The following is a 25235-nucleotide window of genomic DNA, read 5'->3' as shown; positions in this document are numbered from 1 at the left end:
ACTTTGGGAGGCCAAGGCAGGTGGATCACCTGAGGTCAGGAGTTCCAGACCAGCCTGGCCAACATGGCAAAACACTGACTATTGAAAATACAAAAATTAGCCAGGCGTGGTGGCCAGCACCTGTAATCCCAGCTACTCAGGATGCTGATGTAGGAAAATCGCTGGAACCTGGGAGGCGGAGGTTGCAGTGAGCCGAGATCTGTCACTGCACTCCAGCCTGGGCGACACAGCAAGCCTCCATCTCAAAAAAAAAAAAAAAAAAAGTCTACCTTATATGGCCATCTCTTTGGGTGGGGGTGTGGGGTGCTTTAAAGAAGTCAGCATCTGATTGTAGCTATTCTCAGCATTGAAATTTCTCCTTTTGAACCAGTATTAATTCTTTGGGTCTCGACTTCCTTTCCAGATTCTCAATTTCACCAAACATGTTTTGTTGGGTGTTATTGTTCGAACAGCAAAGCACATTTTCGTCGTCTTACCTTTTCTCAGTTACTAAATCTGGCATAGTTTTAGATTGTTACAGTATTTCATTTTGTTCACTTAATATTAATGATCTGTGGTGCCTAAATAAACATTGTGAAACTAAATCAGCGTTTAGAGCAGTAACCAAGAATATTGAACCAGTGTCCATCTCTTCGCATCTTACTATTCACTGAAATGGTCACAATATATATGCAAGGTCTCGATCTACTATATATAGATTTAATTACCAGTAAGTGCCCACCAGGTATACTATTATAACAAATAAATATCAATAATTAGTAATTGTGTAAGACAGTTTAACTTTTTTCTTTGCAGAGATTTATTTCTAATTGTTTCTCTAGTGTGTAGCGGTTGAAATATTAGATAATGGATTTTTATTGATTTTTAGCTGAACATTGAAGATGTAAAAAATACATTTCCATAACTTTGATGGTCATGAGTTTCAGAATGTATTGATTGGATTGGTGTATACCTTTGTTTTTTTAGAATATTAACGTCATGAGAGGAGCAAATGTATTCCAGCAGGTAGATGTGAGGTGCTGAAGAACTGCCTGAGCTCTAATGCCAGCTATCAGCCTGATTTCCAGTGTGGTTCAAGGAAACACTCATGCCCTGTACCATGTGCCATGAGCCTCTTTGCACCCAGCTTGCCTCGTGCAATGCTGAGCTGCCCCAGCTTTCTTCCCTCTTAAATGCGTTAGACCATAAAGTAGCAATTGCCTCCTAATGTGTTTGTGGAAAGAGGGCATAGAAAAACACAAGATAAAGCTTTCATTTTCACAACAATTAGGCAAGTGATGCTTTTTCATCAGGGTCACTTTCAGAGAAATTATTCTTTGCAGTGTGTTGCAAAAGGGGTCCCAGAGGCTGGGTTATGTATGGGATCTTCTTTTCTTGCGGAGATGTCTGAGAAGTTCATTCAAATGCAAATGGTGTTAGTGACAAATGCAGTGTTAATTTATTTATCAGAGAGACATTTCAGGCTAGATAATCCATTCCTAGGGACTGTCTTTATATCTGAAATAACTGGACCACAGCAGAATCAATCCAGTTACTGTAGCCATTTTAGGAAATAGATTGGATATATTCCATCCATTCAGTTGCCTGCCTATTGATCTGGAGGATTGGAAGCACAAAATTAATGGTGCCCGGCCAGTGGGACTGCAAGTGATAGTCTTAGAGAAAGTAGGTTTGGAACTGAATCCTAGTGAATAATCATTACCTGTTTTCCTTGCTACGTGCGTGTGGAATAGTGAAAGGACATTGCTGTTGGAGTGAGATAAGATGGGAATTTGAATCCTGTCTCTGCCATTTACAAACTGTATGACCATGGGCAAATTGCTTTATTTCTGTTATTATCATTTTATTATTTTCATCTATAAAATGGGAATACAAAGACACAGCTCACAGGATATATAAGTACATACATATCTATATCTATATAGAAAGATGTATGTGAAAACATATATGACTGCTGTCCAATACCTGATGGCTTCTGCCTCCTTCTTTCCTAATCAGGGACTCTTCTTTGGTTTGCTATTATACACTATTTTTTCAGGAAGGGCCATTGTCTTTTGAGGGGGGGAGTGCTGTATAGAATTTAAAAATTATTTTTAGGTAATTAATTTGGAAGACTTGAAAAGTGAACAAACATATCATGACCCATACATCACATTATAGATAAATATCAATTCCTGATGGATAATATATCATAATGTAAAAGGTGAAACAAAGCACTTTTTAGAGTAAAACAGAATATCTTTATGACTTTGAGTAGAAAACTATTTATTAAATAGGATCCCCAAAACATGAATCTTTTACAAAAATGATAAATTGGACTGCATTAAAATGAATAAATTCAGTTCATCAAAATAGACCAGTAAGAGGGTGAAATGGCAATCAACAGAGCAGAACAAGATATTTGCAATTACCCATATTATACAAAAGACTTGTATCTGGAAGATATAAACAAGATCTACAAATCAGTAAGACATAGACAATTAAGTCAATGGAAAGATTGGTTTTAAAAAAAAACCATCAAGTCACATTACAAAAGATAATATCCACATAGCCATTAACCATATTGTTATGGGATGTTTGGGGTGTCGATTTTTCTGGCCAGAAACCTCTGTGGCCACAGCACCTTTACCCAAGCTCTTGTCCTGTGTCCAGGAAGAAGGAGTTATGCAGACAAGTGAAGGGTGCACAAGATGAAGATGAACTTTATTGAGTGTTAGAATAGCTCAGAGGAGACTTGCAGTGGGTAGCTCCTCTCTGCAGGCAGGCCATCTGTTGAGTGTTCAGTTCTCAGCAGAGAGGAGGCCCTGGAGAGGGTAGCTCCTCTCAACTAGTCCTCCAGATGTCTGCAGCTCTCAGCGGAGAGGAGGCCCTGGAGAGGGTGGCTTATCTCTGCCCACAGCAGTTCTCATCAGAGATGGTAGCTGCTCTCTGCAACTGGTTGTCACATCATCTCCAACTATCAGCAGAGAGGGTACTCCTCTCTGCAGCTGGTTGTCTCCTCTTCTTTCTGCCCTCTTGGTCCTCTGGCCATCCTCTGCCCTGCTCTGGCTGAGCCCAGGGCTTTTATGGACCTCAGAGGGGTGGAAATGCGTGCTGATTGGTCCATGGGCAGCCATGGGTGGGGCTGGAAGAGGCACCATGAGTCCCCACTCCAGCCTTCAGGCCCTCCCTAGCCTGAAGGGGGGCCTTCATGGGGACCTGCCCATTTCCATTCAGGAATCAATCTGCCTCCCACTGCCATTCATGGCCCTTGGGGCTTGGCCCCAATCCCTACTCTGAGATGGGAGCAGGCTCGTGGCACAAAGAGAGGCCAGGCAGTGGGGGAAGATACTCCTGAGACTGCAGGGACATGGGGGGTTCCTTCCTGAGGACCCCATGGGTACAGGCTGCAGAGATGCCTGGGTCCTGTGCCTGGGCTGCACCCAGGAGCTCCCTACCCCCACTGACTCTAAAGGGGCAGGGTTCCTGCTTGTTCCCAGCTCCTGCCTACTCTGTAGAGCAGGAGGCCTGGGTCTGCAGCTGCAGTTTGGGTGGCTGCAACAGCACCCAGGGAGTTCCCGCCCCAACTCAGAAGGGGCAGGGTCCACTGGCCCCATGGAGTGTGCAGCCCTAGCTGCGCCTCCCTGCTGCAACTGCTGTGATGGCCGCTGCCATCAATATGAAAAGGTGCATAACTTCATTTGTCATGAAGAAATTGCAAATTGAAATCACACTACAATCCCATTAGATACCCACCAGAAAGAGCAAAATGAACACAGGTGTCTGTAAAAATGTGGAGCAACTAGTACTCACCTGCATGGTTAGCAAGGGTGTAATGTGGTAGAATCATTTTGGAAAACTCTGAAAATCTTATTAAAGTGGAGCACTTGCATTAACTGGGCCCAGCTAGTCATGGCGGGAACAATCTCAATGCAGCATGTTCATACAGTGGAGCATGATGTAGCAAAGAGAAGGAAACATGATTGCCGCTTGCAGGAACACAGGAGAATCCTCATAAGCACAGTGTTGATGTAAATCAGCTACATGCCAAAGGGTACACACTGCACTGCACTCCACTTATATAAACTTCAGAAACAGGCAAACTATTTGTGGCATCAGAATTTATCTTTGCAGAGCCTGAAGCTTCTGGAAAGGGTGGTAATATTCTCCTCCTAGGTAGACCTGGGCACCGGCTACATCATGGGCTGACTCTGGGGCCTTGTCAAGCTGTAAAATTTTCATTTGTGCACTTTTTAAATGCATATTTCAATAAAAAGGCTTTTTCTTAAGTTTCTGGTGACAACTTCTTGGAGAAAAAATATTCCTGAATATACAAAACAGTGCGTGTTTATCATAAAAAAATGTGGAAAATAGAAGAAAGCTAAAATCATGTATAAGTCTGCCACTCTGTATTTTGATATAATCTTTTCCTGTGTTTTTCTATTTATACATTGGGTGTGTACATGTGAAACACAATGTCCACTATACAGCATATCAATTTTATAGCCTTCTTTAAAAACCACACAATGTGTCCAAAGCACTCTCTCTTGCCATTAACTATTCTTCAACACACTTCAAAAGGCTGTCTTCTCCAGACACAGCCCACTGCTGCATTTAGCTCACGGCCTCGGCCATATGTACTTTCATCTTACACCGCCTCAACGACACATCTGCTGAAGCCTGGAGCTGAAACTGAGCCATTAAAAAACAGATCAATTTAGACCTAACAGGATCTTACCAACGTATTTTGCAATGGGTGGCCCTGAACCCAGTGTTACTTAATGTTTTCATTGTTGGCCTGGGTTAGGAAACCCTACCAGCATCACCCACACAGAGAAGCAGCAGCCTTGCTTACATGCAGATGAGGGGCCATGCCCTGGTCTCAGTCTACCTGCCCGCTGGCAGTGTAGCATGACGGCAGTTGTGTGCACAAGACTCCAGGCTCAGGGGACCCAAGTCAAGGCACCAGCTCTGCAGCTGCCACATGTGTGGCTCTGGGCAAGGGCCCAAGAGGTAGGGACTCAGTTTCTCAGCAGTAAAATGAGAATAATAAGCCCCAGTGTGCAGCTCAATGTATGGGAAGTATTTACAATAGTACTGGGCAGAGTAGTCACCCTGTAATGATAGAGACCTTTGCAGAAGTAAATGGTAGGTGACTTCCTTGCTCACAAACCTTAGAGTGATCTCCTGCACATGGCTGGGGAGGAGTCTCCATGCCTGTGTGTCTAGCCCCATCTCTTACTGGTCTATAACTTCATACCTGTGCCCCGTCCACACACAACAGTTTGTAGATTCTTGAGGACAAAATGGCTCACACCTGTTTTCTACCTGGAAGCCACTTCTTCCTCATTGCGTAGCCCTGGTCTCTCATCCTCATTCATTTACCTGACTAATTTACACTCTTCTGTGTGCTTTCATCCAGATACGCTGTCTCTTCATAGAAACTTTCTCCAGTGCTCGCCTGCCCACAGACCTGGTTAGAGGCCCCGCTTTTTATGGCCCCCCGGACTTAACCACGTCACAGAAATCATCACATTGTGTTGAGCCTCCTGGGTTTCTTTGGACTGGAAGCTCCCTGAGGGCAGGGTTATCTTGTTCGTCCTTTCATCCCCAGGGCCTGGCATAAGACCTGGCGAAGAGCTGCTGCATGCTAAAGCTTTGCTAATTGAATGACTGTGTGTTATTTCTTAAATTCAATGAGAAATCACTCTACAAAGTCCAGGAGAATGAAAGTCTCAATAACCGAGCTTTCTCTCCCCTGAGCACCTACACAGGAAACTCAATTACAGTTGCAAGAGGCCTCGAAGACCTGCAGGATTTAGAAGAATCCAGGCATCTCCGGGCCCCTGGCTGGGGCTTCTGCATCTGACAATAGAGATGGCTTTGCTCAGGGGAAGAATACTTTGGGCTCTGACTCACTCCATGAGCACTGGGTAAGCAACGTCCACCTTGGTGGCTCTTGCTATAATTTGTCTGTGTGTTCAGACCCAGTCCTTCCCTCCCAAACTGCTGACAGCGGTTTTCTTCGGTTATGCTAATATCCCCCACTATGTTCAAGTTGAGTTTTGTAGACATGCCAGCTGCTCTGTTTCTTTACGTTGATTTTCTCGCTCTGCCCTAATATGTGCTCATTTCATAGGTGGACTCTCTACAATCAATCTTTTAATTTTTTAAATGTTCAAGTTATTGAGGGACACCTTCCTGAGAGGCGTCCATTGTAAACGACAGCTTATCACTGATATTATCATATGAAAGCTATTGTTGTAGGACTTTCTCTTTAGGGCCCATGTCACATGGCCATGAGAGATTAGGGTCACAGAGATTTTGAAGGGTGAGAAAAATGGAATTTATCGGGCCAAAAGGAAAAAAAGGGAAACAGGGACTCTCAGCAAAGCAACAGTCCTGCTAGCGGGTTTTCCCGCCTCAGCGATTGAATCTCAGGTACTATCCAGGATCAGGAGAGGCCAGGCTCCTCCCCTCTGCAAAGCGCGTGAACTTCCGTGGCTCCACCCCATTCTCCCAGGGCGCAGGCCGGTTGGGGTTTCCCCAGGGACCCTTTATACTTGGCTGTTCATTGTGGTGATATGGTTCCAAGCCTGAAGAACTTGCAATCTGATTAAGATCTGAATGCATGAATTAAAAAAAAAAAATTATGGTAATTTAACATAAGAAATAGTCTTGAAGCAAGGGGTTATCACAAGGGTGCTTATGACAGCGTTAGTTGTATTAGTAAAATATAGAAATAACCAATACTAGAATTTTTAAATTACAGTGAATTCTTTTGCTGCTACTGAAATTATGCTTTCAAAGATAATTAATGTTTCTAAGGATAGTTCATTTAGAGGGGAAAGTACAGAGCTCAAATTCCAAATAAAAGGTCATGATTTGAAATTACCGTGGGAGAAAATGATATAGATATGGGAAAAGAAAGTGTTTTCAAGGCAGCAAAGCTTTGTTTAAAGCTAATCACAGATAACTTCTACTTTTATTATCCTTATCAGGATTTATCTTGTATCATGAATAGTGAGCATTTGCCTCGCCTATTATATCTAATTCTGAGTTCTGTGGCTTAAGGTAGCGTCAAGCATTTGGAATGGATTCAGATAAGGGCCAGCCCGGCTGGTGCCAGAGCAGGGCACAGAGCCTGTTTCCTACCGATCCTGGATCCTGACAGTGCGACTCCGCGTGCGGCTTCTCCCTGCCATGGTCTTAGATTTCAACCTGTCTCAGTGTATGAAGAGCGAGAAGGATTCATTCCAGGTCTGTTTGTGAATCTTTTCTAAGAAGTGTTTCCTAGGCAACTTCTAGAAGGCATTAAACAATAATGGGTTTTAGTTTTTCAAGAAACCTTGGAGATCTAGGACATCCTGTCTTTACCAACGGAGACACCAAGGCACAGAGATTCCAGGGGATGTGACGGCAGAACCATTTCCTTGTTCTTGTCGGCTCGCCTTCTGCTGGCTGTGGCTTCCTTTGTGTCTAGCATGTAACCCTGCATGCCTATTCAGGATTAAGGGAGGCCAAGTTCTGCCTCCTGGCTGGTGAATGCCGGGAGGCCCAGGAGGAAGCAGTAGCTGGTGAGGGAAACGCGCAGCAGATTGACAGCTGGGCGGAGCAGGGCAGGCCTCCCGGAGCACATTTCTGCACAGAGAACTAGGAAGCAATAAAACAAACTTCACGGAAAGTGGATCTTATCCTAAAAATAGCAGGTTTAATGCTGACATGCCTACCTTTTGATGACTTACGTTTGTTTTTGCATAATTATGATTACTAATTTGAAAGCAGCTAGGAAATAATCTAATAAGGATGAAAATAATAAAAATACATTTAGAAACGTAAATTGACATAATATTATCATGTTTTAGTCAATTCAAATGAATATTTCCAAGGAATTCAGTTTATAATTACATTTAGGAAATAATAGTGCCCTAAACTTTTTTTTTTCTTTTCTTTTCTTTTTTTTTTTTTTTGAGACTGGGTCTCACTTTGTCACCCAGGCTGGGATGGAATGACATAATCATAGCTCACTGCAGCCTCGAATTCTGGGCCTCAAGAGAAACCCTCACCTCAGTCCCCTACCCCCAGTCCCCTACCCTCACTCCCCTACCTCCAGTCCCCTACCCCCAAGTAGCCAGACTACAGGCGCAGGCCATCACACCCTTCAATTTTTTTTTTTTTTTTTTTTTGAGACAGCGTTTTGCCATGTTCCCAGGCTGGTCTAAAACTCCTGAGATCAAGCAATTTGCCAGCCTCAGCCTCCCAAAATGCTGGAATTACAGGAGTGAGCTACCATATCTGGTACCCTAAACGTTTTTGATTGGCTAGGGGAGATAATACTGAGAGGTGAAGCCAGCTGGACTTCCTGGGTCGAGTAGGGGCTTGGAGAACTTTTCTGTCTAGCTAAAGGATTGTTAACACACCAATCAGCACTCTGTAAAATGGACCAATCAGCAGGACGTGGGTAGGGCCAAATAAGGGAATAAAAGCTGGCCACCAGAGCCACCAATGACCACCCGCGGGGGTCCCCTTCCACGCTGTGGAAGCTTTGTTCTTTCGCTCTTCACAATAAATCTTGCTGCTCTTTGGCTCTGCACCACCCTTAAGAGCTTTAACACTCACTGCGAAGGTCTGTGGCTTCACTCCTGAAGTCAGCAAGACCACGAACCCACCAGAAGGAAGAAACTCTGGACACATTTGAACATCTAAAGGAACAAACTCCAGACACACCATCTTTAAGAACTGTAACACTCACCACGAGGGTCTGCGGCTTCATTCTTGAAGTCAGCGAGACCAAGAACCCACTGGAAGGAACCAATTCAGGACACAATATGATGAATGGTTTTTAGTTGTTGTTGTTGTTGTTTAGTGATTTTTAAAATTATTATTGTAGTTTAAATTCTGGTATATATGTGCAGAACGTGCAGGTTTGATACATAGGTATACACATGCCATGGTGGTTTGCTGCACCTATCAACCTGTCATCTACATTAGGTATTTCTCCTAATGCTATTCTTCCCCTCAACAGGCCCAGGTGTGTGATGTCCCCCTCCCTGTTTCTATGTGTTCTCATTGTTCAACTCCCATTTATGAGTGAGAACATGCAGTGTTTGGTTTTCTGTTCCTGTGTTAGTTTGCTGAGAATGATGGTTTCCAGCTTCATCCATGTCCCTGCAAAAGACATAAACTCATCCGTTTTTATGGCTGCATAGTATTCCATGGTGTTAAAGACTTAAACATAAGACCTCAAACCACCATAAAAAGCCTAGAAGAAAACCTAGGCAATATCTTTCAGGACATAGGCATGGGCAAAGACTTCATGATTAAAACACCAAAAGTAATGGCAACAAAAGCCAAAATTGACAAGTGGGATCTAATTAAACTAAAGAGCTTCTGCACAGCAAAAAGAACTATTGTCAGAGTGAACAGGCAACCTACAGAATGGGAGAAAATTTGTGCAATCTATCCATCTAACAAACGGCTAATATCCAGAATCTACAAGGAACTTAAACAAATTTACAAGAAAAAAAAAAACAACCCCATCAAAAAGTGGACAAAGGATATGAACAGACACTTCTCTAAAGAAGACATTTATGTGGCCAACAAACATGAAAAAAAGCTCTTCATCACTGGTCGTTAGAGAAATGCAAATCAAAACCACAATGAGATACCGTCTCACCAGTTAGAATGGCGCAAGTTAGAATGGCGATCATTAAAAAGTCAGGAAACAACAGATGCTGGAAAGGATGTGGAGAAATAGGAACGTGTTGATGCTGTTGGTGGGAATGTAAATTAGTTCAACCATTGTGGAAGACAGTATGATGATTGTTAAGACAATTCTACTAAAGGAAAACTATCTCTGCTTTGCATTAAATATCTTGCATTTGCTGTTTTTCCTTAAGATTTCTTAAATCAAATTGTACATCATAAAACAGGTCTAATAATCGGCTGGGCGGGGTGGCTCACACTGTAATCCCAGCAGCACTTTGGGAGGCCAAGGTGGGCTGATCAGCTGAGGTCAGACCAGCTTAGCCAACATGGTGAAACCGCACCTCTACTAAAAACACAAAAAAATTAGCCAGTGTGGTGGTGCATGCCTGTAATCCCAGCTACTCAGGAGACTGAGGCAGGAGAATAGCTTGAACCCAGGAGGCAGAGGTTGCAGTGAGCTGAGATTGCACCATTGCACTCCAGCCTGGGCAACAGACTGAGACTCAGTCTAAAAAACAAAACAGAACAAAACAAAAAAACCAGGCATAATAGTACTCTCCCACATTCCCCGTATTCTTTGACTGCTGACAAAATAAAACACACTGTCAGTTCTCTGACCTTCAAAAGTCAGGTGTGGATATTGGGTGAAATTGAATGTCACGTTACTTGTGGGAGAAAATTGCTATTTTCTTAAAGGAAACTTGGCCAGGGCCTCTGTCCTGTCCTTCCCTGACTCAGCTGATTGCAGCTTGCAGGACTCCTCCCCGCAGTGCTTCTACCAGGACAATGACACCAGGTACCTTGTTGCTCACTTCCCTTTCTCCACACTTGTTTTTGAGGAGTTCAGGTGACCAATATTTCCCAGGGCTCCAAGAAAGCAATACAGGTGTAACTTCACCTTTGCCATTGCCGTGAAAGGACTATGTGCTCACCTGCATATCAAGTGGAATGGGCCCATATGGATTTAGCTTAGCCCATCCAGATTTTTAAAAATACCTGTTAAGTGTTTGCCTTTCTTCTATTTTCATATTTAAGGAGCCGAAGAATCAATAGAGCTGAGGGCAGCAAGATGGAATTATAACTCATCCACCCCCCTTTACTGTACTCAAGATATAATATTCCTTGACCCCTCTACATCTGCTTTGCAATTTTCTATCCTTGATCATCAATGCCTTCTTTAGGTGGCTTCCCCTCCTGTCACTCTATGATCCTTATCTTTGTAAACTGTCTGTTGTTTTATAACTGAGTTGACTTTAGTGAATAATCAGAAAACAAGTTGCCGGTTAATATATTCTTAGGATAAACTGAAGATTATGCCTGGAGAGGCTTGTCCATGGTGCAGCTGAGACGTCTCCTATCTTCTTTTCTGTCTTTTTTTTTTTTTTTTTTTTTTTTGAGACAGAGTCTCGCTGTGTCACCCAGGCTGGAGTGCAGTGGTGCGATCTTGGCTCACTGCAAGCTCTGCCTCCCAGGTTCACGCCATTCTCCTGCCTCAGCCTGCCGAATAGCTGGGACTATAGGCACCTGCCACCACGCCCGGCTAATTTTTTGTATTTTTTTTTAGTAGAGACGGGGTTTCACCGTGTTAGCCAGGATGGTCTCGATCTCCTGACCTCATGATACACCCGCCTCGGCCTCCCAAAGTGCTGGGATTACATACAGGCCTGAGCCACCGCGCCTGGCCGTCTCCTATCTTCTTGTCTGTGTATATGTGTGAATCCTTCACGCCGAGACAGAGTTGTATGAATGAATCATTCTGAACCTGATGTTCTTTCTACAATGTGGATACATGCAATTGTTTGTTTGCCCTCCTGCCCTGTGGTCACAGCAGTGGCCTATTTACAGGGATGTTTACTGTTCTAGAGACTGGCTGTTTCCTACGCTTATGTTTTTACTCCATCTTTTTCAGTGAGCTTAAGTTTGTTTACTACATACTAGTATGTTCCTCTACTAGTCATTGTGACAGTGTTTCAAAATGTTTCAGCATATCCTTGTGTCTTTCTTTTCTCTGTTCATCTTGTTTCTAATTTCCTTTCCAGAACTTTCCATGGTGTCCAGGACAATCCTGGTTTTCTATCTGTTGTCCTGTTGTCATTATCAATAGTAGCCAATTTCACCCTGAAAGTAACTGTGTTGAAATGAAAATTATATTTGCCTATTTACCCATAAAGTAATCACTGCTCTAAGATTTTATACCCACTTTCTGAGAAACTTTATTCCAGGAAAAGACTAATTAGATAGGTCAATTAATGTAGATCAACTTGCTCCTGTCATGTTTGAAATCATAAAACAAGGCCTAAGTCCATTTGGGTGCTATAACAAAATCCCATAAGCTGGGTCGTTTCTAACAACAGAAATTGGTTCCTCACAGCTCTGGAGTTTGGGAAATCCAGGAGAAAATCACCGACAGACTCGGTGTCTGGTGAGAGCCCGCTTCCTGGTTCCTAGAGGGCCGTCTTCTCACTGTGTCTTTACATGGTGGAAGAGGCAAGTGAGCTCTGTTGGGCCTCTTTCATAAGCTCATGAACCCCATTCATGAGACCTCCTCCCTCATGGCCTAATCACTTTCCACAGGTGCCACCTCCAAGTAACATCACCTGGAGGATGGCATTTCAACATAGGAGATTTCATGACGTGTTTGCTTCTGCAGCACGTGTTCTAAAATTGGAATGAGATTTCATTAGCCCTCCTCCCTCATGACCTAATCACCCCCCACAGGCTCCACCTCCATATAACATCACCTTGGGGATGGGGTTTGGGGCAGGGGAACATGAGCATTGAGCCCATTGCAGGGACAGACCCTAAGCATAACACCAACCAGTAAGTGAGTCCTAACAGGATGAATCTAAATGACAGATAGGGTGGGAGAGACATTTAAAAGTCCTCTAAACTTTTCTGGTCATTGGTATTTACTCAGAATCTGTGGCTAATTCTGCACTTGCCAGCAATGATCACTGTCCTTGTTATTGTCCTCATTTGTCCAGCACATATTGCACACGTTTGCACATGCTGCGTACCAAGCACGGTGCTGTGTGCAAGGCTGCTCAGCGAGCACATCAGATAAACTCCTGCCACATTAGTGCTTACCCTGGGGAGGTGGGGGGAGGCAGACTCACAAAAGGGAAAATTAAATAAACAAAAAACCAGATAATGTCGAGTCTTGTTGAAAGAAAAGTGGTGTGACAAAACCTGAGTTTTTACAAAGTAACTTAGAATGAAAGACCAGGAACATCCTCTCAAAGGAGGAGACATTTGTGAAAAGAAGTAAATGATAAAGTCAGTCCCAGTCATGCAGGATGTATGGAAAAGACATCTCAGGTAGAGGAACGATGAAAGCAAGCATCCTAAGGAGAAGGAAACATGGCACGTTCGAGGCACGGAAAGAAGGGAAGTGAGTATGGTTGTCATGGGAAAGAGGACAAGTCAATATGCAAAGTTCAGAGAGATGGACAGGGCCAGGTCATCAGGAGTGGTGGACAGGGCCAAGGGTTCAGACAGGCCTGTAAGTGGGGTGTGCGGCACGGGATACTGACATGCAGTGATGTACATTAAAAAATATCCTCGCTATGATGTGCAGAAAACAGCAAGAAAGGCAAATAAAAAAGCAAAAAGCAGAGCCCACTTAGATGTCTCTTACACGTGCCAAGAGTAAAATGGTAGAGGCTGTGGCTGGGTAGATACAGCAGAGAGGGAGAAGGGAAAGTCTCTGGGATGTCTTTTGGATGTAGTCATTATGACTTGCCAATGAACTGGGTGGAGAAGGTCAGTAAAGACACTGAATTGAGGATCTGTCTGAAGAACTGGCTGGAACACTTGGGGAGACTGTAGGGTCAACTAACAGGCAGATAATGTTGGGGGAGAAATGAAAAGTTTTGTGTTGTCAGGTTAAGTTTAGAAGCCCATTAGATTTCCAAGGGGAAATGACAAATGAAGAGCTGCATGTTTGGTGTACAAGCCAGGAATTCAGGGTAGAGGTCACAGCTAGAGATATGAACAAGAGGGTCATTGGTATATAGACTGTGTTTAAAGCCGCTGGATAAAAATGGACAATCTAGAACATATAGCAGAGGAATCCCATCCAGACTCACCATTTAGGGTTCAGTAAAGGAGACTGTGAGGTAGAAAAAGCATGAGCGTGAGGTCCATGGAAGCTGAGAGAAAACGTGTCCTGGGAGGTGGTGTGTATCCACGCATGCTAAGAGCTACTGGGAGGACTGGAGAGGCCAGAGGGAGGTGAGATCTGGGTCTGGTAGCCACTTTCCAAGTGAGGTGGAAAAGAACGGCTTTGGCTTCTGGGGAATGAAGTGGAAAGAGCCTGGTGAGAGACAGTGAGAGACATAGCAAGAGGGGAGAATGCAGAGGCTGTGGCTTCAGATGCTTTCAAGAACTTCTGTCATCCAGAGGAACAAAGAAACAAGGCATTTATTGCATAGAAATAGGAAATCAAGGCTGGGCATGGTGGCTCACCCCTGTAACCCTAGCACTTTGGGAGGCTGAGGAGGGTGGATTGCCTGAGCTCAGGAGTTCCAGACCAGCCTGGGCAACATGGTGAAACCCCGTCTCTACTAAAAATACAAAAATTAGCTGGGCGTGGCGGCATGCGCCTGTAGTCCCAGCTACTCAGGAGGTTGAGGCAGGAGAATTGCTTGAACCCGGGAGGCGGAGGTTGCAGTGAGCTGAGGTTGCATCGCTGCACTCCAGCCTGGGTGATAGAGGCAGGAGAATTGCTTAAACCCAGGAGGCAGAGGTTGCAGTGAGCTGAGATCATGCCACTGCACTCCAGCCTGGGTGACAGCGCAAGACTCCATCTCCAGAAAAAAAAAAAAAAGAAAAAGAAAAGAAAAGAAAAAAAGAAATAGGAAATCAAAACAGCAACATTTTTTAAGAAAACAAAAGTGTACTCCAGAGCATGTTTGTATGCAGATAGAAATGGCCCAGTAGAGGGAGAGGGTGGTGTGGAAGACAGGGGTAATGACTGAGGAGAGAGGTGATAGGAGCAGAGCAGAAATGCTTGGTTGACCTTTGATAGGACAAAGGACATGCCATCCTCTGAAACCTCAGGCAAAGCCGAGATCTAGGAAAGCCCCACAGCTGTTAGGCTGGTAGAGCTGGTGGCAGTAAGATGAGTTCCTCTCTCTTTCTTTCTGTTTTCTTAACCTGGGATGAGGCAGGATGAACAGATGCAATGGTTAGGAGGTGCTGTGTGGTAACGTGGTGGACCCTCCACAGGGACTATTTTGATCTGGCTGTGATCTGCACATCCTAAGATGTCTATATTCCAGGACTGATGGGACAACTGGCCCTGCGTGCTGTGCTCTCATCATCAGAACCCCTGATGGTCACTGAGCTTAGTGGTGCTTTGCCCAGATGTTGGTGTGCTCACTAAATTATGCTCTGCAGTTTCGGCCCCATCTACAATTCTGACATTGTCTCATATTTCTCCACTTTGCCCTTCCTTCCTTCCTTCCCTTCTCTCCTTCCTTCCTTCCTTCTCTTCTCTCCTTCCTTCCTTCCCTTCTCTCCTTCCTTCCTTCCCTTCTCTTCCTTCCTTCCCTTCTCTTCCTTCCTTCCCTTCTCTCCTTCCTTCCTTCCTTCCTTCCTTCCCTTCTCTCCTTCCTTCCTTCCTTCATTCCTTTCTCTCTCTCTCTCTTTCTCTCTTTCTTGACACGGTCTCGCTCTGTCACCCAGGCTGGAGTACAGTGGTGTGATCTCAGCTTACTGCAACCTCTGCCTCCTGGATTCAAAAGACTCTCCTGCCTCAGCCTCCCAAGTTGCTGGGATTACAGGTGTGCATCACCACACTCAGCTAGTTTTTGTATTTTTAGTAGAGACGGGGTTTCACCATGTTAGCCAAGTTGGTCTCAAACTCCTGACCTCAAGTGATCTGCCTGCTCCCGTCTGACAAAGTGTTGGGATTACAGGCGTGAGCCACAGCGCCTGGCCCGCCATGGCTTTCTTCCTGCTCTCCAGTCTTCTCTGGAGCTTCACTCTTTCTGGGCCAGTGCTCACAACATTTTCCTGGCAGGAATATTCACATCCCACTTCCACAAGGGAAATAAGCCAATTTTTTTCACCCAGTTCAAATTATACCTTTAAAATGACACATTTCTGATGACCTCCTTCACCTCCCTCCATTCGGAATGTTCTCTCTAGGGATACCCATGAAACATTGATTCATTCATTCATCCACTTGGTTATTCAACAGGTGTTTATAAATTATCTACAATGTGCTGGGAGTAGGCATGTAGTTTCCAGGAATACAGTGGTGAGCAAATTGACGTGGGCCTTGCCTACAAGCAGTCACCACCTAGAAAAAGCACTGTGGCAGAGACAGTACTTCCAGTAGTAACTCCAGTCTCTTCATCCCACTATTTTTAGCTGGACAATGACCACCTATCATAGACGACATTTTTCGACTTTTTTTGCAGCTAGATGTGGCATGTGATTAAGTTTTAACCAACAGCTCGTGAGTTGAAATGTCGTGTACAGCTTATGAGATGTAGTCTTGAAGTGAGGAGAAATGCCTTAAAATTTTTTTTTTTCAATTTCCTTATCCTGCCATTTGGAATGTAGCTTTCACTGCTGGATGGAGCTGAATTAGTCATTGGGGACAGTGCAGTGGAAGCCAAATTTAAGTCTGATTCAAGTGAGATCCTAGAAGGACCCTGGGTTCCTGGCACCTTCCGAGCCCATGTGGCTCTACTCAGCCCTGCTCTTTTTAAATAAGAAAGTAGAGCCTTGTTGTTTTAAGCCACTGGTATTTCAAGTATCCTGTTATGCACGTTTGGTCTAACTAAAATAAAGGCTACCAATCGAAAAATGTAGGGGTCTCTAAGAACATGCAATACGATTCAGTCAAGGGACTTAGAGGAGGTTTTCCAGAGTAGCAGACTTCAAGTTTAGATCATAGAGAAGGTTTGGAGTTCAATAAAGTGATAGAAGGAGGGAACAGTAAAGTGCAGGTGGAGGGAACGGTATTTCAAAGACCCTAAAACAGGAGAATGTGGCACTTCAAAGGTCCCAAGACTGTGGCTTCAGCAGAGTAAAGTAGGAAAAGAGTGGCCCAGCATACGTCTAGAGATGCAGGCAGGGGCCAGATTACCTATGACACTGTAGACCAGGGTGGGAATGTTGTTCTTTATTCTACAAAAAACTAGAGGTGGATACAGTAGCTCACACCTGTAATCCCAACAGTTTGGGAGGCTGAGATGGGCAGATCCTTGAGGTTGGGAGTTCGAGACAAGCCTGGCTAACATGGTGAAAGCCTGTTTCTATCAAAAATACAAAAATTAGCTGCGTGTAGTGGCAGGCGCCTGTAGTCCCAGCTACTCAGGAGGTTGAGGCAGGAGAATTGCTTGAACCTGGGAGGTGGAGGTTGCAGTGAGCTAAGATCGTGCCACTGCACTCCAGCCTGGGTGACAGAGTGAAATTCTGTCTCAAAAAAAAGTAACAATAATAATATAAAAATAAAAATAAATGGAAAGCGATTGAAGAGTTTTATGCAGGTATTTCAGTGATCAGGTCTGGACTTTTAAAACATCTTGCTTATTGCAGTAGGGAGAACTTACTGCAGGTGGACAAGAGTAGATACAGGAAGGCTATCAAGGAGGTTAGCCAAGGTTAGCCCAGTGCCATTTGCTCCAGCAGGGAGGAGGAATGTCAAGAAGTAGGCAAGCTTGAAATCTACCTGGGAGGTGAAGCCTGCCTTTCCTGCTTTGAGTTCTGCATGGAGGATAAGGGAGGGTGGGGCTTCTGGTTTCATTTAGATTTGCTTAGAAGTAATTTACCTTCTCCTATATTTTTTATATACTTGCATCCATAATTTACCTTCTGTACTACAGTTAAACGCCAAAGCAGTAGGACTGTGTTTTACTCATCATTGTGTCTTCTTCCCCACCCAACACAGCACCTTGCTCACAGTTGGTGCTCGATACATATTCATTGATTTGGTTAACGGGGTAGATGGATAAACAACAGTTGCATAATTCTTCCCAAAGGAATCCAGTGATGCTAGCAGAACTTGCTGGAAGGCTCCTTTGAGAATTGTTTATTTGCTGACTTCGTTGATATTTGTAGCGATGGCAGCGTAGGCCGGAAGGGTAGGTCTGATTTTGCAAATTCATTTGCCTATGAAAACAGCCCATATTATGGAGTTACAAGTATGAGCAACAGGAATGGTGCAATCTATGTTCTCTGGCAAATATAGTGTCTGAAAAAAAAATTACGACTTTCACCCACTTGCTCTTTTGCAATCGTGTAGCAATAACTGTCAAAGGGTAGTGGGTTTTTCTCCTGTGTCATAATGCAGGTTTGAGTAACATGTTTTGAGTAACAAATGATTTCACTTTGTTTGGTTAATTATTGTGGGTGGTTTATCAATTGATTTAGTGCTCTTTATAAGTATCAGGAAATGAATATAGACACAGAAAAACAACTCCATTACAAATTATGGGAATGGATAGTGGCTAGTCAAATCAGATGTTTTATGCTTAACTAAGTAATAACTGAGGAGTGGACTCAATTCCAGGTGACACATTCCATGGTGGTTCGGAAGCCCCGGGGAAGAGAGGTCTATAGTCAGAAAACCACATGGCTCCACTGTCTGCAAGGCCTGTGTGACAAACGAAATAAAAATGCATTCAGGCCACCATAAATGGGCTGCTGGGAACAGTGTTCCCTAAAGAATTCATAATTTATTCCTGATTTCAAGTGCTCATTCAGCATTTTGAATAGTGACATTCTCAGGAACAAAAGCCACCTTCATCAAGCGATGAAGAAGGCCCACAAGCTCGCTACAGGTCTACAGTGAACATGAAATTATGAATCAGTTGTAGTACGCAGAGTCAGTGGACTTTAAAGATACAGGAGGTGGTCTCCTGAGAGGTGTGGAAGGATGCCATTTTATTCCAGTAGGTCGCTTTATTTTTCACTTACATATGACTGTTGATAGCCCATCACAAATCAATTTGCCTTAAAAGTTTCCTGGAACATGGTAAAATACATGATTTTAAAAACACATAAATGTATGCATTCTCCCTCTCTCTCCCCTCTCCCCAACCCTACCCTTTCAACAGATGAATTTTGGAAAGCCAAAACTCTTTTGCCATTAAGTTCCTGTTTACTAATCAGCAAATTTAAGTAACTCAACAATTATCAGAATAACTGTGTCATTCAATAAAATGAGTAACAACTACTTCTGTGAAAAATAGGTCGATTTAGAGGTGATATTATATTCCACCTCCCCACATGATTACTTTATTTTTCCATCTCATTTTGTGGATGCCAGGATTAACTATTTGCTATTTTAAGAAAAGTTGTGACAATTTTTTTTTTTTTTTTGACATGGAGTTTCACTCTTATTGCCCAGACTGGAGTGCAATGGCACAATCTCAGCTCACTGCAACCTCCGCCTCCAGGGTTCAAGCAATTCTCCTGCCTCAGCCTCCCGAGTAGCTTGGATTACAGGCATGTGCCACCACGCCCAACTAATTTTGTATTTTTAGTAGAGACAGGGTTTCACCATGTTGGTCAGGCTGGTCCCAAACTCCTGACCTCAGATGATCCGCCCACCCCGGCCTCCCAAAGTGCTGGGATTACAGGAGTGCGCCACTGCGCCTGGCCTAAGTTGTGACTATTCAGATATCAGTTTCCCTCCTATCTGTAAATAAGTTTGTTTCAATTAATAATGCATCCTAAACTCACTGCAGAAAATTTAGAATATGCATAAGGATATGCAAATAAATTTACCCGAAATACTATATGAAAATTTTGTTTCATATTCTGGATTTTTTCTTATGCACAGATGTATATTATTTGAAATAATAGCACTGACTGAACACCCTGTACTGGCACTGTGGTATATACTGAAATTTCATTATCTGATTTGTACATTTAATTCTCATGACAACTTTACATTAACTATGCAATTTTTTATTGTTATCCTTTAGCATCTTACTGTATGTTCTTCTCCATATCATTAAAATTCTTAGTAAATGTTAATGCCTGCATATTTTGTGGGAGGGATGTAGCATTTCAGGTTTATGTAACTCATAAACAATTGGATGTTTCCAATTTTTCATTAGTACAAATAATGTAAATATTTTCACTTTGTCTTACAAATACTGTTATAATTACGAAATTATAAACAGCTACATCTTTTATATGAATCCTTATATGTGTTTTTGGTTGTAGAGTTAAAATACATTCTCAGAAGTGAAATGTAGGGATAAAGCCTAGGAACATTTTATGTAGACAGTATTTTCTGAAGAATTTTCATAGCAAAAGATATTTTACTTAGACCAGATTTGCCTTTCTTTAACTTGCATTCATGGACATGCAAGTTAAGAACTAAAATTAGTTCATTATATAGACTTCTCCCCAAACAGGCAAGCTGAGTGATGTGGAGCCCTTAGTCAATTGGATATTTGCCTCTAGTCAAATTTAAGTTCCTTCTGGAAAGTGGAAAAGACTACCGAGAGGGTGCATCATTCTGGCCATCTCTGATACCCAAGGCTGACCAAGGCTGTCTCTTGCCCTGTGGAGTGGGAAGGCAGTGGGCTGAGTCTTCCTCGGTCAGTGACCGTTTTGGTGGTGCCAATGCCGCAGCAAGTTTCATCAGATCCCTGCAGAGAGGAAGCTGTGCACAAACCCTGCATGGGTGTCTGGAAGCCATGCTGGGGCTGCTGAGTGCCTGAAAACGCTGCACTCACCACCCAGGAGGACAGTTTTCCCAGGCCAATTCCCATTAGAGCGACCAACACTGGCAGCGTTCAGTCAACATCTGAGAGAATCTCTCTGACTCGAGAGTGCCTTCAACATAAGGAGAGCTGGTTTGGGGGCCACATATAAAGTCCCTGACTTAGTAGGTTGCTAACAACATTGTCTTCCTTCTCTTTCTTGAAGGTAGGCACCTGAGTGTTTAATATAGGAAGGTGTTATAAACTTAACTACATGCTATAACGAAGCCTTCATTTGAGAAACCAAAAAGAAGGAAATTAGACTTCATGAGAAAACTTAGAAAACAGTCTTTATCATTTTATCCCAGTTCATACTTATGAGAAGTACCTAAAATATTGAGTAAACTTGAGGATATATCACTGAATCCTGAATTAAGCATTTGCAACATCAGTGAAGAAAAACTGGTTCAATGACGTGAACCCATGAAAGGGCACAAGGAGAAGTAGGAGAAAATTCACTCTGATCTGAAAGTGAAGTGGTAGGAAAAAATCTTGGCAAGATTTTAGGTTTGGTAAACTATTTTTAAACCGTTTCATCGAGGTTTGATTGACATGGAAAGCTGTATATATTTAATATATACAACTCTCTGAGTTTGGGGATAACTAACCATCTGTGAGGCTAATTTGGCAAAATATTTTGAATATTTGGAGAAATATTCAAACCATGAGTGTATGTCGACACCCAACCCACTCTATGAGAAGAAAAATATAGATTTACTCTTTAACAGGTTGATTGAAATATGAATCACGTATAATAAATGGCACATAACTAGGGTGTGCAAGTGGATAAGCTTTGGCATATGTGCACACCAATAGGCCCTTCTGCACTGAAGGAAATGCATAACCCAGTCCCCCAGCTGTTCCTCTCACCCCTTTGTAATCTCTCCTGCCCTGCCTCTGCTCAACCCCTTCCCCAGGCAACTACTGTTCAGCTTTCTGTCACCACTGATTACTTTGCATGTTCTGGAATTATATATAAATGGAGTAATGTCATGCATGGTCGTTTTTGCCTGGCTGCTTTTTCCCCACAGAATTATTTTAAGATCCATTCATGTTTTGGTGGCAAACATTCATTCCCTGTCATTGCTGAGTAGTATTCCACCAAAGCGATTAATTTTTAAACAGATATTGTGTCTCTTAAATTCATATTTATTAAGGCTCCATAAGAGAAAAAAAATGATTCCTGTAACAGTATGAGCTCTTTTCTCCCTCCACCAAGTCAATGAATTTTTCTGTGACATCGTTGCTTCTTATGATTTGAAGAAGCGCTGTTTACCGCATGTCTTACTCTTAACGCTGAGATGCTACGAGGAAGGCAAAACACAAGCACTAATCCACCTTTAGCTGGCCTTTAATTTACGCTACTTTCCACGATGTACACAGTTTATCCCAGGCTGAGCCTCTGTCTCTTCCCTTGCGGGGCCAGCAAGAAATGCGTTAACACTATGGGTGAGGCGCTGGCATCATTATAACCACAGGAGGATGTGAAACGTGTCTTAGCCAGAATTAATAGCAGCAACAGCCAATTCAAATATGGAAGAATGTTTATGGCTAGGAAATGGTAAGATAATAAGAGTTGGTCTTTATTAAACCGTATGTGTCTGGTATTACGCTATCTAATTTGTTTGCAGTCATTATTTTTCACTCAATTCTCCCAACACTGTACATACAACTTCCAAGTTTACATCAGGGTTATTTCCCTTAACATAGAGTGTGCGCATTTTCAGTGTCACTAACAAATTCTTAGTAATCATTATTTATAATAGAGACAACACTTATAGCCAGGAAAAAGAAAAGGACAAATTAATAGAATTTTGGTTTCTATAAAATCCCCTGTGACATACCTTATAAAGCCAAGTAAAAACCAAGCAACCATTCTGGGGAGATCTGACCCAGGGAAGCTGAGCCAGGGAACGCAGAAGGCCACATACATTAGAGGAGCCCACTCTGGTCCTTGACCGAGGCGGTGCGTGTGATCTGTGTATTTGCAACAGTTACAGGGTCCAGAGCAGTAAAGAGAGTACAGGAGCTGCCAACCACCATTATACCCTGTGTGGTTCCCCAGCATCCTGGGAACTTGGCCAACTCATAGCAATTGCTCACCCCGAATGAGACCATGAGGCCCCCACTTCCCCTGGCCTGAATAGTTCAGGCTGCCTTGGGTTTGTGGGCGTCCGCATCAGGAAGATATCTGGTCCTCCTGTATTGTGTCATTAAACACTCCCAGGAACTGAAGGAATGCTATTGATTTGGATCATCTATTCCCCGCAGGAGTTTTAAAACTTCCTATGAGGCCACAAAGGAATCCATATAAAAGTTTATTTTGTGAGAAGAGAGACAGTGTCTTTTCATTCTGCCTTGAGGATGTGCATGGTGCTAGCACAGCAGAGGCATTGCAGACTTGTTAGAAAACTTCAAAAGCTGGGTGTGGTGGCTCACGCTTGTAATTCCAGCACTTTAGGAGGCCGAGGTGGGCGGATCACCTGAGGTCAGGAGTTCAAGACCAGCCTGGCCAACATGGTGAAACCCCCTCTCTAGTAAAAATAAACCTGGCACCTGGTACCTTTAGTCCCAGCTACTTAGGAGGCTGAGGCAGGAGAATCACTTGAACCTGGGAGGCAGAGGTTGCAGTGAGCCGAGATTGCAACATTGCATTCCAGCCTGAGTGAGAGAGTGAAACTCTGTCTCAAAGAAAAAAAAAAAAAAAAAACAGAACAGAAAAGAAAACTTCAGACAAGTTAAATTTGATAGAGTTTAATTGAGAAAAAAAAAAAAGAAATGATTCACGAATCAGGCAGCCTCCAGAATCACAACAGATGTGGAGAGACTCCAGCAGTGCCTTGTGGTCAGAACAAATTCATAGACAAAAAAAGTAAAGTGACGTACAGGAATTGGCAGTGAGGTACAGAAACTGTGAGTTTGGTTGCACCTTGGCATTTGCCTTATTTGAAGACAGTTTGAACACTCAGCAGTCTGTGAGTGGTTGAAGTATAGCCGCTGGGATTGGCCAACACTCAGCTATTGTTACAGGTGCATACTATTATGTTTGGTTTTCAATCTTGTCTGCCTATTAAGCTAGGTTACTGTTCCGTCATGAGGACTCAAATATAGAGGTAGGAGTCCTTCTCAGGCCATCTTCAGTTTGCTTTAACAAGACAAATCCTCACATGGACTGGAGTCTGCAAATGGCAGCAGGCACCTCCGAGGCCCAGGTCAGGCTTCCATCAAAAGGGAAAAAGTCTCAGGTCTACTCTATGCCGATATGTGCTACAAGGAAATAATAATACTCCAAGCTGTATCCAAGGCTTCAATTGCCTCTACCTCTTCCTTGCAAATTATTTAAACTGCTTATCTTAATCCCTGAATGGTGAATTTACTAGCTCTGATAACAGATCGCTTACACATTTAGAGAGTTGAGTTTAGCCCCCAAGGTCCTTGCTGTAGTTGTACTTATTTGTTTGTTTTTGTTTTGTTTTATCTCTAGCTAGAATCTACCTGCCTAGAATTGACACCCATTGGTCTAGGTTTCATGCCTTTGGGTTGTATAAAATGTGTGTGGTCTAACTTCTTGCTTCATTATTAGGCTATGCATTCTGGGTCTCATTTCCCACTGCCACAGTTCTGTTTCCTTTCAGTATATGAGTCACTTCTCCCTGAAATCGCCTGGGGTTTTCTAACATATCTTTGGAATGTGATGTCCTGCATTGTATGCTCCAGCAGGGAGGGCTGCCCCCCTGTTACTGCCCAGGTGAGAAATGGGTGCATTCCAGGGTCTGCAGTAAGACTCATCCTATGAGACAGGTACTTCCCACCATCATCTACCCAGTCCTCCCAACCATCCTATGAGATAGGTACTTCCCACCATCATCTACCCAATCCTCCCAACCATCCTATGAGACAGGTACTTCCCACCATCATCTACCCAATCCTCCCAACCATCCTATGAGACAGGTACTTCCCACCATCATCTACCCAATCCTCCCAACCATCCTATGAGACAGGTACTTCCCACCATCTACCCAATCCTCCCAACCATCCTATGAGACAGGTACTTCCCACCATCATCTACCCAATCCTCCCAACCATCCTATGAGATAGGTACTTCCCACCATCATCTACCCAATCCTCCCAACCATCCTATGAGATAGGTACTTCCCACCATCATCTACCCAATCCTCCCAACCATCCTATGAGATAGGTACTTCCCACCATCATCTACCCAATCCTCCCAACCATCCTATGAGATAGGTACTTCCCACCATCATCTACCCAATCCTCCCAACCATCCTATGAGATAGGTACTTCCCACCATCATCTACCCAATCCTCCCAACCATCCTATGAGATAGGTACTGTCATTTTTTCTTTAGCAACAGTGATGCTGAGGCCACGTGACTTAAGTGGAACAGTGTTGAGCCTGGCTTTCTGATTCTTCAACCTCTCTTACAATTCTTCTCTTCCTTAATATCCTTTTTCTTGTATTTTCTCCTTTCTAATGGATTCTTTGCTCAGCTCTCCACTTTTAGTCACGTTTTGTTAACAATCATCTTCTCCACTCTTTTTTCTTTCTGGTCTCACAGAAATATGAAAAGATGTTCATTTTTCACAGCTCTACTCCACAGTCCATGGTGATAACCCACCATATATATATATATATATATATATATATGTGTGTGTGTGTGTGTGTGTGTGTGTGTGTGTGTGTATATATATGTGTATATATATATGTGTATATATATATGTGTGTATATATATATGTGTATATATATATGTGTATATATATATGTGTATATATATATGTGTATATATATAT

General features: G+C 43.1%; 2 long non-coding RNA genes across 2 annotated transcripts; one reads left to right on the top strand and one right to left on the bottom strand.

The window, feature by feature from the left end:
• Window positions 1–3638: 3638 nt before the first annotated feature.
• LOC105370359 (uncharacterized) lies at window positions 3639–9510 on the top strand. Its single transcript, XR_001750017.3, has 3 exons — window positions 3639–4992; window positions 5402–5912; window positions 7054–9510. It is a non-coding gene; the product is annotated as an uncharacterized LOC105370359 (long non-coding RNA).
• LINC00399 (long intergenic non-protein coding RNA 399) lies at window positions 6302–7247 on the bottom strand. Its single transcript, NR_126361.1, has 2 exons — window positions 7135–7247; window positions 6302–6602 (listed from the first exon to the last, which is right to left on the bottom strand). It is a non-coding gene; the product is annotated as a long intergenic non-protein coding RNA 399 (long non-coding RNA).
• Window positions 9511–25235: the final 15725 nt, after the last annotated feature.

Source organism: Homo sapiens, chromosome 13 (genome assembly GCF_000001405.40).
Source record: "Homo sapiens chromosome 13, GRCh38.p14 Primary Assembly".
In the NCBI taxonomy this organism is placed as follows: Eukaryota; Metazoa; Chordata; class Mammalia; order Primates; family Hominidae; genus Homo; species Homo sapiens.
The sequence above is the reverse complement of the archived record's forward strand: the minus strand, read 5'-3'. Positions and strand labels throughout refer to the sequence as shown.